At 51.9% G+C, this 12,529-nt stretch overlaps 1 long non-coding RNA gene across 1 annotated transcript, besides 1 other annotated feature; it reads right to left on the reverse strand.

Annotated features, from left to right (window-relative positions):
- Positions 1-1,334: 1,334 nt before the first annotated feature.
- Positions 1,335-8,709, reverse strand: LINC00940 (long intergenic non-protein coding RNA 940). Its single transcript, NR_036546.1, has 2 exons — positions 8,587-8,709; positions 1,335-3,563 (listed from the first exon to the last, which is right to left on the reverse strand). It is a non-coding gene; the product is annotated as a long intergenic non-protein coding RNA 940 (long non-coding RNA).
- Positions 5,289-5,887: an enhancer, noted in NCBI's record as "H3K27ac-H3K4me1 hESC enhancer chr12:2042322-2042920 (GRCh37/hg19 assembly coordinates)". NCBI's record gives its function as "activates a minimal SCP1, AML or CMV promoter by ChIP-STARR-seq in naive H9 embryonic stem cells {active_cell/tissue: H9 hESC(naive)}" and the evidence as "EXISTENCE:reporter gene assay evidence [ECO:0000049][PMID:30033119]".
- Positions 8,710-12,529: the final 3,820 nt, after the last annotated feature.

Genomic DNA, 12,529 nt, shown 5'->3' on the forward strand with positions numbered 1-12,529 from the left:
AGGTCAGAGCCCGGAGGAGGTGGGCAGCCAGCACGTGTAGCATTACACCAGGAGGGTGGGCATGAGCACCTGGCCGGGCAGCCACCACTGCAGTGGAAATCAGTCCCTAAGCCCTGCCATTAGAAATACTGGGGCCCACGCCAGCTAATCCGAGGTGTTGGAAACGTGCTGAGATGTGACCATGTGCGGCTCAGAGCACCGGGCCAAGCCCAGAGGCCACAGCAGCCTGGAGGAGGCAACTCACAGCAATGAGAGTGAGGAGCGGGGCTAGCCTGGCAGGAAGCCGAATGCTTCCTCGGAGAACCAGGCCAGCTTCCAGGAAGGATGCCTGGTCCAGGCTGGCAGCTTGCTGGGAATTTGCTCTTCTGAGCTCCCCAAGGACAGCATTCCAGAAACGCCAGAGAGGGCTGGTCAACGTCAGAGAGACCCTGGTCTACTGAGGGTCACACCAGGGTCGGCATTATCCAGGGCCAACAAATGAAGACCAGCCAGGAGCCAGGGCTGCTGCCCGGGTTCTCCTTCAAGCAATCCGTGGAGAAAACATTGCCTTACAGACTGCCATGATGGGATTAAAATGAATCCCATTGGCCTTAGGAAGAGTCCATCTACTTCCCCCTGATGGGGGAAACGTACAGAAATGGTGCAAGTGTCTCCTGTTAGAGAAATGGAATTATGGGTGTGACCGTTTCGTGACTGTGGCTGGCCTTCACTGGTGAACTCTTGCTCCCTTGGCCCACCGCCCTCAGGGGCCAGCCCCATGGCTCGCCTTAGTTGGGCTGATGTTCCCGTGCTGAAATCCTTGGGCACGCCTCGGAGGATAGAGGAGGACTCCGGACCCCGGTTCCCTCTCTGGAAACAGTCCCGGAGGAAGTGGCAGAGGCGAGTGGGAGCCATCAAATGCTCATGCTCAAAGGGGCTTCTGGAATTACTGGAGCTGAGCCCTCAACTTTCCAGAAACATAACTGAGACCAGGAGAGAAGGGCCCTCCTCGGTGTCATGCCCCATTCACGAAAGAGCCAGGACCACCGAGCCCAGGCTGCCTGCACTCACCGCACTGCCTGCGGGAGGCTTCGTGGGATGGGCCTCTCTCCATGTCAGGCACAGCAGGGGTGATACAGAGGTGAGGGGATGGGATCCTTGCGCTCAGAGATACACCAGGCATACAATCAACGTGAAGACCGTAATAGTCAAGGATAAATGTGAGAAGGGCTCTTGGATCATTACGGAACACACTGGCAGACACTTCTGAAGAGGTTAACACAACGGGGGTAGCATTTGAGTTTGAAAGAAGAATTAATGCTGATTAAGCTTCCAACACAGTGGCAACAAGGAGTGTTGTAGCGGCTAAGGGCTTGTTTAGGCCCTGCCATTTATTAACGACGTGATCTTGGGCACTTCCAACTCAATTTCCTCCTCAATAGAATGCAGGGCAATGATACCTGCCCTGCAGGCATCGGGGGAGGCGACATGGTGTGTGTAACGTTCCTCCACATTGCTCAGCAAATGGCGAGATCTCTATAAACCCTGTGGTCATCGTGGCTCCCCTTGTCATTATCACCCTCCTCATGCCCGTGGCCACCATGCATGGGTGGGGGCCGGGTCCCACCGGGAAGTCTGTCTGTAGCAGTCTCCCTAGGGGTGGGCACAGTGACACCTGTGTAGCCCTTCCTCTGCCTGAGTCACACCTGTTCTGAAGCTACAAAATTAGGTGTGTAGATGAGGAAGCAGAGAGGCAGCTACTGGTTCTGATGAATCCTCAAAGCATTTTGGGGAACCACAGCTACAACTAAATTCAGCTGGAGGTTTGTCCTCTCAGTCTGAGCCATGTGCTCATTTCAGAGTGTGGGGAAGGAGGGGTAAGGCGGGGAAGGAGGAGGAGGAGGAGGAGGAAAAGGTTGAGGAAGAAAAAGAGGATAGGAGAAGGAGGAAGAAGAGGGGGAGGAGGAGGAGGAAGGGGAAGGAGGAGGAAGAAGAGGAGGAGAAGGAAGGGGGAGGAGGAGGAGGAGGAAGAGGGGAGGAGGAAGAGGGGGAAGAAGAAGGGGAGGAGTAAGAGGGGGAGGAGGAGGAAGAGGGGGAGGAAGAGGGGAGGAGGAAGAGTGGGATGAAGAGGGGGAGGAAGAGGGGGAGGAGGAGGAAGAGAGGGAGGAGGAGGAAGAAGAGGGGGAGGGAGAGGGCGAGGAGGAAGAGGGGGAGAAGGAGGAGGAGGGGGAGAAGGAGGAGGTGGAGGAGGAGGAAGGGGGTGAGGAGCAGGAGGAGGAGGAGACAACCAGATAGGCATGGGGATGGTTCCGTCTGCTCGGGCTCACTTGTCCACTGGCCTGGATCCCTCAGGCCTCCATCCTTCCATTTCACAGCCTCAGTTCCTCTCTGGTGGGGCCTCCTTGGGTCCCCATGAAGAGACTGCTCTCCACGAACCTTTCCTTCTCTGCCTGTCTGGCCTTCCACTTCTCCTTTTCTCTTGCCCCTCAATGCCTCCGTTCCCTTCTCTCCCACGGTGCCCAGCAAGCCTTCGTTACCTGCCCACTCTGTCCCTGGCCCTGTGCCTGGCCCCAGGGTCCAGAACCCCTTAGCATGATGGCAGTTTTTTGCCCTGGAGGAGCTCATAGGCTGCTGAGAAGACAGACACAAAAGAAAATACCAAGAGGCCAGAGAGCTCACTCTGCCTGGGTCTCATGCCCTTATGAGGGTGGTTTCTGCCTGGGGTAAACCCTATGTGTTCGAACACCTGCTGCTCCACTGGGCCCTCAGAGTGGAGCACAGACCCTGCCTCGCCCCCACCTCAGGGAGCTCAGAGCCATCAGAAGACTGCCCTGCAGGGGTGGGGTGGCTACCACTTACTGCTTCCGGCTGCAAGGAGCAGGAAACCCCTACTTGAGGAACGAAATAATAATAACAGTGTGACAGCTCACATGAAGCCAGAGGCAGGTGGCTCCAGGGCCGGCGAGTGCAGCAGGTCCGGGATGTCACCCAGGACGCAGGTTCCTTCTGTGTTTCCTCCTGCTGCCCTCAGCATTTCAGGTTGTCCTCCAGCCAGCTCCCCTCAGGGCCACAGGATGGCTGCCACTGCTCCCATGCTGATTCCCAGGGCTCGTCCCAGACCTGGATCCAAAGCCCTGAGGTGCAGGGCCCCAGTCTCCCTGGGTGCCCCCAAGGTCCTGGCCGCTGTTTGGGAGCCAGTCCCCCGGCCTTCCTGCGTGGATACGGGAATGCTCAGCCTTGAGCCGGGGGCACATCAGAGGAGCAGTGAGGGCAGCACGTCCTGGAGTGAGCAGAGGCTGCAGACAGGGCTTCCACGCAGACCGTTTGCCTGTTACCAAATTTGAGGACAAAGGTTTCTTTCTTTTGAAGTCATGGGTTCTTGGATGGAGCCTTGTCTGACCCCAGCAGTGCAGCACAGGGGAGTGAATGAGCAGGAAGACGACCAGCATCTCCTCAGGGCAGGGCCATGACTGGGGCCTGTGCGTCCATCCCCGCGGAGCTGGTGGCAGAGTGGCGGATGCCGTGGTGGAGCACTGCATGGAGCACTGACGGATGACACGTGCACATGGCGATGAGGACGACACCTAAACGTGGCAGTCAGTGGAGGGAAAGCCAGAACGGGATTCATGACACAGAACCACAGAAATTAAAAATAGATAAGCTGGGCGTGGCAGCGGGCACCTGTGGTCCCAGCTACTCAGGAGGCTGAGGCAGGTGGATCACTTGAGCCCAGGAGGTCAAGGCTGCAGTGAGCTATGATAGAGCCACTGCATTGTAGCCTGGGTGACAGTGAGATCCTGTCCTAAAAAAAAAATAGGTCCACAGAGTTTCATACAAATGAATACGACACAGTGATTAAAAATGGGCATAATGAGGAGTGAAAGAATCCAGATAAAAGACAGTGAAGACACTGCTTTGTGTCACTCCATTTATGTGAAATTCCAGAAAGAAACCTATGATGACAGGAATCAGCATAGTGACATCCCGGAAGGTTGGTTTGACTAAGCAGGGTATATACAAGACCTTCTGGAGTGTCGGAAATGTTCTAGATTGCCGTCTGGATGTGGGTTAACACACGTACGCAGACACACACAGACGGCTGTTTATAAACTTCGCTGAGTTGTGCACTGAGGACTCTGCATACTTTTCTGTGTGCATCTTACACCTCTGTAGAATTAATATAAAGCCACGCACACAAAACAATATACATTTTGTAAAAACACAAACAAAAAATAACACATTGAACAGAATACGATGGCTGAGGGGTTGTAGGGAATGGGAGTGGGGTACGGATGTAAAAGGGAGGAAATGAACTTTTAAAGCGTCCTTGTCCAAACCAATGATGAAGGTTTATATACACTAAGGAGCAAGATTACCTTGATTGCTTGTGTGCCCGAGGGTGGGGTCGGGAGAGAAAAGAAAAAGCAACAGCAGCAGAATAGCAGAGGCAAGAAGTTTAGGGCTTCAGAGGCTTGGACCACGTGGGGAGTGGCGGGGCCTCTGCGGGCAGCCTGGCACCACGGCTTCCTAGGCCCATTGCCAAGGGCAGGCCGCCCTGGTCTGCTCAACGTCAAGAACAAACTCCAAGATCGTGACAGAAGAACGCAGGACAGAGTTCCTGGCGGTGGTTACCCAGGGCTGGAGCTTCCCAGCCCTGGCGGGGAGCTGGCAGTGAAGCCAGACTCAACGTGCATCGTGCGTCTCTCTCCACAGCAGGGGAGATGGTGTGAGCTGGAGCGTGCACAACATTCAGGAGTGAAAGTTTTAGTGAGCAGAAGTGGAGAGAAGGGGTGTGGGCTGAGGGTCATGTGAGGTGAAGTGAAGAGGTTCTGCCTGCCTCTCCCTGGCTGCAGAGGGAGCATCCGCTGGGTGCTGTGGGGCCAAACCACAGGGGATGAGACTCAGCGATGCTTGGGATGGAACTGGCAGAGGTTTGTTCCGCAGGATAACAGGAGACTGCTGGAAACGGGCTGGGGCGTGTGTGTGCAAATGTGTGTACATGGGTGTCTATGATGTGGCTATGTGGAGGTGTATTGTGTTAATGTATGTGTGCATGTATGTGTGTGCATGTGTGTGAGTGAACGTATATGGGCTTGTGTGAATGTGCATGTCTATTGCATGTGTTTGTGTGTGCGTATGTGTACGTGTGAATGTATGTGCATATGTTTGTGTGTGATGTGTATGTATATGAGGTGTATCTGCGTGTGTATTGCATGTTTACACATGTGCACGTGTGTGTGTATGTTTGTGTGATGTGTATGTATATGAGGTGTATGTGTGTATTGCATGTTTACACATGTTCATGTGTGTGTATGTGTGTGCATGTTTGTGTGATGTGTATGTATATGTGAAGTATGTGTGCGTGTCTTGCATGCGTGCATGTGTACGCGTGTATATGTATGTGTGCAGGTGCGTGTACTTGTGTTCTGGAGAGACTGAGAAATTAAAGAATAAACAGGAGAGGCTCCCGGCAGGGGTGACTGGTCCTTTAATGAATCCCCCAAACTCTCTTTTCCTTTGCCTCCCAGGCTTGCTGCGCGGCCTCCTTAATTAATGCCTGTAGAATGCGTTCAGATGCTGGAAGGAGAAGCAGCAGCTTTATAAATAAACACTTCTAAAGGTTGACTAATCCCTGAGTCCCCGAGGGAGAGGAGAGAGCTGTGCTGTGTGGGAGGAAGGGGCACCTTGAGCGAAGGAGGCAGCTGCGGCGGTTCACTGAGGTTTCGGTCCCGGCCCCCATTAGCAAGTTACTTCTCCAGGGGCAGGCCCTGGCTCCTTTCTGGGCCTGTCTTCAGCAGCCAAAGGAAAGGCTTGGATTATGGCCTCACAAGATCCTTTCTCATGCTCCCATTTTATAAAGTGCCTGTTGTGGCCAAGGTCACAGAGTTGCCCCAGCTGAGCACAAGAGGGCACCTGAGAGAGGCAGGCAGGGGCCACGTGGCTGCCCCTCACATGCAGGCAGCCTGGCCGGCTGCAGCCACCCGTGGAGTGACCTGTTCGTGGAGGTCCAGCTCAGAGCTCTCTAAGCAGGCTCAGCAAAGGCAAGCAACACAGAGGAGGAGGCTCCTGTCCACGGCAGAGCCAAACCAGGGCTGCAGGGCCATTCCATGCTCCGCAGAGCACCCCGACCTGGAGATGGAGCAGCCTCTCCAGGTGATGTGGAGGCAGAGAATGTGGTGGCCACCCTACACTCAGGACCAGGGGCCACCTCTGACAGTGATTTCCCCTGAACATAACATCTTAACCAGAAGGAAGGACCTGAAAGGAGATAGGGGGCTGGATGGTGAGATGGGAAGAAACTACATCTGGTAGAGACTCTTTGTCTGACAGGGGAACCTGCCCTGTGTTTGCACGGCCTGGCTTTAGCACCCAGGGCGAAGAAATGATGGAGCTGGCCCACTCAGCCTCCTGACTCTAAGGGAGCTGTCGCCTGCCATCTGACTCTTTTAGGCTTATCTAAGGGATCCCTGTGGCTGGAATTTTGGCAGGGGCCTACCTGGCGATATGTATGGGGATCATTTGTCTGCATTTGCCCAGGACAGTCTATGTTTCTGCCTTTTGTCTGTGTGATGAGTTCACATCCAGAAGTATCCTAGTTTGGATGAGGAATTACGTGGTCACCCCATTGATGGACAACTGGGTGACACTTAAGAAGAAAGAGGACTTGAACCTCCAGAATCTTTGACTTTTAGAACTTTTTGGACATCTGTTCTCTGCAAAATCCCTCCAAAATGTTCTGCAGCCTTCAGCTGAAGTCATGAACAAGAAATTATTCCTCATTTGCTCACGTTAGAGTGGGGTGTGATGGGGAAGTGAGTGACCCCAGTATCTGAGGAGGTTCCCTGAGACCCCAAAGCCGGGGTGGCCCCCATCGGACTAACATTTTCTAAGTGCTCTCCCACAGGCACCCACATCACCATGCAGCTCACGGGCGTACTGAGTCTCATCTGCACGGAGCCCCTCACGTGTGAGGCATCATTTTATTATTTTTTATTATTGGCATTATCAATTTCCTTATCTCATAAAGAGAGGAACAGACTCCCGAGGGGGAGACGGCCACATCCTGCTCTGTGAGTGGCCATACAGAAGCTAGAGCCCAGGTCCCTGGGCCCCGCCTCCCCTCCGCAGGACACTGCCTCTATGCACCTGGTCACAGTCAGACAGGGCAGGGTGCCCTGCTGGCAGCCAGGCCCGGGCAGTGGGGAGCAGAGGGCAGAATCCCTCACGGAGTCTCTGGTCTCTGGAAGGGCTGGACGGTGCTTTGCCAGCCGCATCTCTCGCCAGTCTGTCTTTCGAGTTCCAGAACACCGAATAGCTTGTATTCTACCCACTTCCCACCCAATCACACACACACAACCCCATACACACACGCACACATGTACACAGACACTATTGCTGCTTCTTGCCTTCCTGTCCTGGCTCATGCCATCTCTTTTGCCTTAAACTCCTGCTGCCCCCTTATTTTGTCAACTCTTACCCACCCTTTGAGAACCAGGAGAGGCATCACCTCTTCCTGGAAGCCTTCCCTGGCCTCCCATTTGCACGTTAAGTGATGGCCCTCACAACGTCATCTACAGTAACTCTCCTTCCCACTGGTCTGTGAGATCCTCGGGGCCTGGGCAGGGTCTTACTCATCCCTGTGTCTCCAGCGTGGCATCCGATGGGTGGCGGCCATCCACACACAGGCTGGGCGCTGCACCGCCGGGCAGAGCTCCTTGTCCTTTCAGGACCCGTTATCTCAAGATTTCCTATCAAGCCACAGTTTCCCAGCCTCTGTGCATGCTGGGAAACCTCTGTCTATGCAGGAGGGAATAAAATCTAAGGAACAAGTGACCCTGGAGAAGTGCTATGGGCAGAAAATATAACAACACCAAAAATAATTTTGGACCGACTTATGACGGAGCCGTAAGTGGCGATAAGAAAAGCTGGGACACACCTGACCCGTGAGGCTGATGGGGGAAGGGCCAGTTTTGCCTGGCACATCCCACAGGGCTGCCATCCAACGTAGAAAACGCCAGTGTGGAGCATGCGCGGCTCTGGCCCAAAGCAACCATTGCAAGGTTCCTACGACTGACACCACAGAAAATCCTTTCCCCTTGATACTTATCTGGGTGGCGAAAGAGACAGGAGGTGGTGGGACTAGAACCCAGAGCTTTCTGAGTGCAGTATTCTCTACACCACATCACACAGGATGAGGGGCTCCTGACAGCCTAGATCTTGGGACTGCCGCCTTGGTCTTTTGAGCCCCTTCAATTGTGTAGGTACCAGGTGTGCCTGACAGGTGGAGGGAGGAGCTGGGGCACTCACAGAACTGTGTGTGTGCACGGCTGGGTGGGCTGCAGCTCCCGTCCTGGGCCAGGAGAACGTCGTCTTGGAGACGGGGCCCTGCTTGTCCCCCAGCATCTCTAATGCTGAGAACTCCCACCCGTCCCTCACATGTCTGTTTCAGTGTCTGCCGACCTCAGCAGGACGCTTTACCTTGGCTTCTCCCTAGACATTTGGCGCCTTTCATCTTGGCCCTCAGACTTTTAGAGAAATTCTTAGACTTTGGCTTATGACTGTCTGCTCTCCCACCCTTTCTCTTGCCCACTTAGTACATATTTTTACCTCCTTCCTGCCGTGCCCTTAGTTAACTTGTCCGAGGCTTGGATTTCTTTCTTCTGCCTCCCTCAGAAGCCTGGGCTGCACAGCTTGGGCTGCTAGCTGGCGCGGGGCCACGCGCCTGTCTGTACTGCCCAGCCGCCGGGAGTGCCAGTCACCCAGTGCTCTGCTCTCCTCCCCCCCAACAGTCTGCACACGCAGTTTTTATTTGTGTACTTTTCTCAAGGCTCTAAGCTGTTGGCAGGCATTACTCATGACTCAATTTAGTGAACATCTATCTAGATACCCAAGGTTGAGTTAAATATACCAAGTATTTGTAACCACCTCCCTCACTCCTCTAATTGTAAGAGGGAGTGGGGTGCAGAGCATCTGAGATCTGAAAGCCAAGTGTTCAGCAAAATGCTGGGCAGGCTCCCCAGCCTGCGCGGCCACGCACCTTTACACCACGCCGCGCTGCCCCAGCCTGCGTGCTGCAAACGACGCATTTGACCTCCAAGATGACTCCACGTTCCAAAGCCTGCAAGGCAGGCTGATTTCTTGGAGAAGGGAGGAGGCGGCACATGTCTGAATAGAGCAGGCCCTGTTAGAAAACAGAAGGCTTCATTGCTAATAGGAGCGAGCGACCAATCTGTCCACATTAATCCAGAGACATGGTTCCTAAAACTGCACCCAACACTCCGCCCCTCCCCGCCCCACCTGCATCTACACTGACAAATGGAAACTGAGCAAAGCCTGGTGCTCAGAGCACTCGTTTCTAATGTGCCCCTCCCATCCTTGGCACCACATACTCCAGGGAAGTAGGCCTTAACAAGGGTGGACTGTTGGTCTCTCTTTATACCTGAGAGAACCAAAGAGGGCTGTTACTCAATAGTTGAGATTTCTTGAGGTGGAAACGCACTTTCAGATTTTCACCCTTCTCATTCAAGAGGAAGAAAGCAGGTCTTTCTGTCCTTTCTGGGTCTGAAAAGGGCAGGCAGGCTGCTGGTGTCTGAGGGAAGAACAAACTTACCAAATGCAACAGATCTGTGATTTCCAGGGCAATCCTTCAGCATGCGATATTTTGTTGTTGTTGTTGTTTTGTTTTTGTTTGTTGGCCCAGGGCTTACCTCTTAAAAGGGCTGGCAGAAGCCAGTACAAGGGGGCTATGTGTATCAGTAGGGCTGGGTATGCACACCAGACAGTTCTAGAAGATGCTAACAAAGGTTTCTCTCACTCTGCAATTATCACCATGTCTGGCCTTCTGAAGGGGGAGACCGAGCAGAGTGTTTCTTTTCAGAAGATCCAGGAAGTACAAATCCTATCAAATAGCACTGCCTTCTCCCGCCTTGCAATTAAGGTGGTGCTTTACCCATAACGGCAGGGGCAAGAACAATACCGACATGGTATGTTACAAGTAATATACTGCTGGGTATGTGGACCTCTTAAAGAGCTGTGGCACTTCCTTCATAAGGAAGGGAGAAGTGTTACTGTTTTCATTCCATTGATAAGGAAATGAGGGGGAGAACGCGGTAAAGCAAGGCGGCCACAGATCCCTAAGTGCCAATGCCAGGCTGAACACTCAGGTCCTGGTAGATGGCAAACAAAGGCCGGCCCAGCAGCTGCGGGCCTCTCCCAACAACTGGAGCATGGCCCCCGCACCACAGTCATGGCACAGAGGGGCTGTCTGCCATATGTTGCTCCCATTTAATCCTCATATGGACCTTGTGAGGGTCTTTCATTTTCTAAGTGAGAAAACAACATCCCAAAGATGTGTTTGTTCAGGAGTTGAAGGCGGATCTGTGTGACTCCATAGCTGGGTGCTCTTCCCCACACCGGACGGCTCTGGCTTCTGGAACGTCTACCAGGCTGAAGCCCACTGCACTGGATAAGGCTGCCTCTACGAACAGAAATCTCAGGGCTGCACCTGAGATTCAATCAGGTGAAAACTGCTGCCTGGGAGCCAGTGGCACCTAAGGAGTGGCGTCCATGATGTTCTCAGAATTTGGGCTGAGTGGGAAGAAGAAAAGCCCATTTATTTATGAAATCTAGCTTTGGGTGCCTTAGATAACCCTTTTGATCTATTTCTTGGACTCACTAGAGAAAGTCCTTTTGTACAAAGACACTCTCATCTGCTTTGCTGTATAGAAGAAATAAGCACTCCATCACCAACTGCCCTTTGAAGGGTGACTTCGTCTTTGGTCTAAATGAATTGGGCCTGTCCCTTTCAAAATGATGTATTCCAGTAAAGGATGGAGAATTTATTATTTTTCAAAACAGATGACTGTGGTGTTGACCTAGAAAGGCCCGACTGAAGCCTGCAGGGCAGGTCTGACCATGCTGGGCTTGGGTTTGTTCCCCCGTCGCATCAGAACATGGGCACCTTCTCACATTAGGTACGGCAACTGATATTCTTTCTGTTTTATTTACTCGGTTCTGAAGCAAAAGAATAAATATTTCATGAAATTAGCCATTTGCTACTGCAAATACGTTAGGAACATTAAGTATGGAATTCATCTCTCCTTAGCTAGCGAAGCAACTCTAAACATGTAATTAAGATCAAAGATACATTGTTAAGGTTGCCAGCAGTTAATCAGATCATTGATTTTGCCCCATTTTTGTGCATGTATCGCTGAGGCAAGCACTACGATCACTGACTTTGAATCCAGCAGTTAATCAGATCATTGATTTTGTCCCATTTTTGTGCATGTATCGCTGAGGCAAGCACTATGATCACTGACTTTGAATAACAGATCCAAGTGTGTCTCTGTCCTCGCCCTGTTCTCCTTATAAGAATATTGAGATACCATATATGCAATTATTAATTTCAAGTGTTTTGTGAAAACTTTGCATGGTTTATCACTATGTTAGATGTTGTAGGAGATACCAACGAAACAAAAGAACTCACCCCTTCCTAAATGTTGGAGGGTAACACAGCAGACTCCTCGCCAAGGTCTGGCACATAACAGGGGTTCAGTAACAGTCAATCCCTTTTCCACCCACCCTTTCTCTTCACAAGAAAAAGCACCCTCCTGCGGGAGAGTAGGGGAGGTGGTGTTCTAACAATGCTTTCACTCGATGCTGTGGCTGAACAAAGGTCTAGAGCTTAAAGTCCAAGCCCAGGTCTCAGAAACGGTAGGGAAACCTGTTTTCCTCACGCTTCCATTTTATGAACTATAAAATGAGAATAAAACACCTGTCGGCTGTGCAGTAATCGAAGATCTTTTTATTATCCGAGAATAAGAAGTGCTATTGAAACGCAAAGCTTTATTTATTACAAATACTCAGCAGGGACGAATTCCCATAGATACTCTTAACAACTTGGCAGGGGCTCTTCTGACTCCTTCCAAGATTAAGCTCCTCATCTCTGCGAACATAAAACTCGATCTGCTACACAGCTTGCAGATCATGACGCCCTGAACATCACAGTGACAATCTCCTGTGCCCTCCGCCTCAGCGTGTTCTGCTAAGGGTGATATACTATCCATTCGGAAGCTTAGGCGGGCACATCCTGCTGCTTCATGGGCTGGGATGGATGAAGTGTTGCTGGAAATCTGGGCCATTTGTCAACTCCTAGAACATCTATCCTCTAGAAACTAGCTATAAATACCTTTAGAAATAACTTCCTTCAAAGGATTGGGTAAAACATGCCAACTGGGTTTTTACAAATGAAAGGTTTACTTTGTCTGGTAAAAGAAAACCGTCGTTACTTCCAAAGGCTCATTAAAGCCTTTGTAGGTTAACTTGTGGGACGACACTGCCACCTGGTGGTCGGCGTGCACTGTGCGCACGGAGCTCCCCAATGGAAGTTACACACTGCTCAAAGAACCACCAGACTTATTAATAAAGAACTAAGCTCTGAGAACAGCCCTTCTCACAGAGACACTGATTCTTCTGAAGTGGCTCCATACATTTAAGGAAACATACTAAGCTTGGCATTTACTGAGTGACCTAAGCAAAGAATTTTCCTACC

This window comes from Homo sapiens, chromosome 12 (assembly GCF_000001405.40).
Source record: "Homo sapiens chromosome 12, GRCh38.p14 Primary Assembly".
Taxonomy (NCBI): domain Eukaryota; kingdom Metazoa; phylum Chordata; class Mammalia; order Primates; family Hominidae; genus Homo; species Homo sapiens.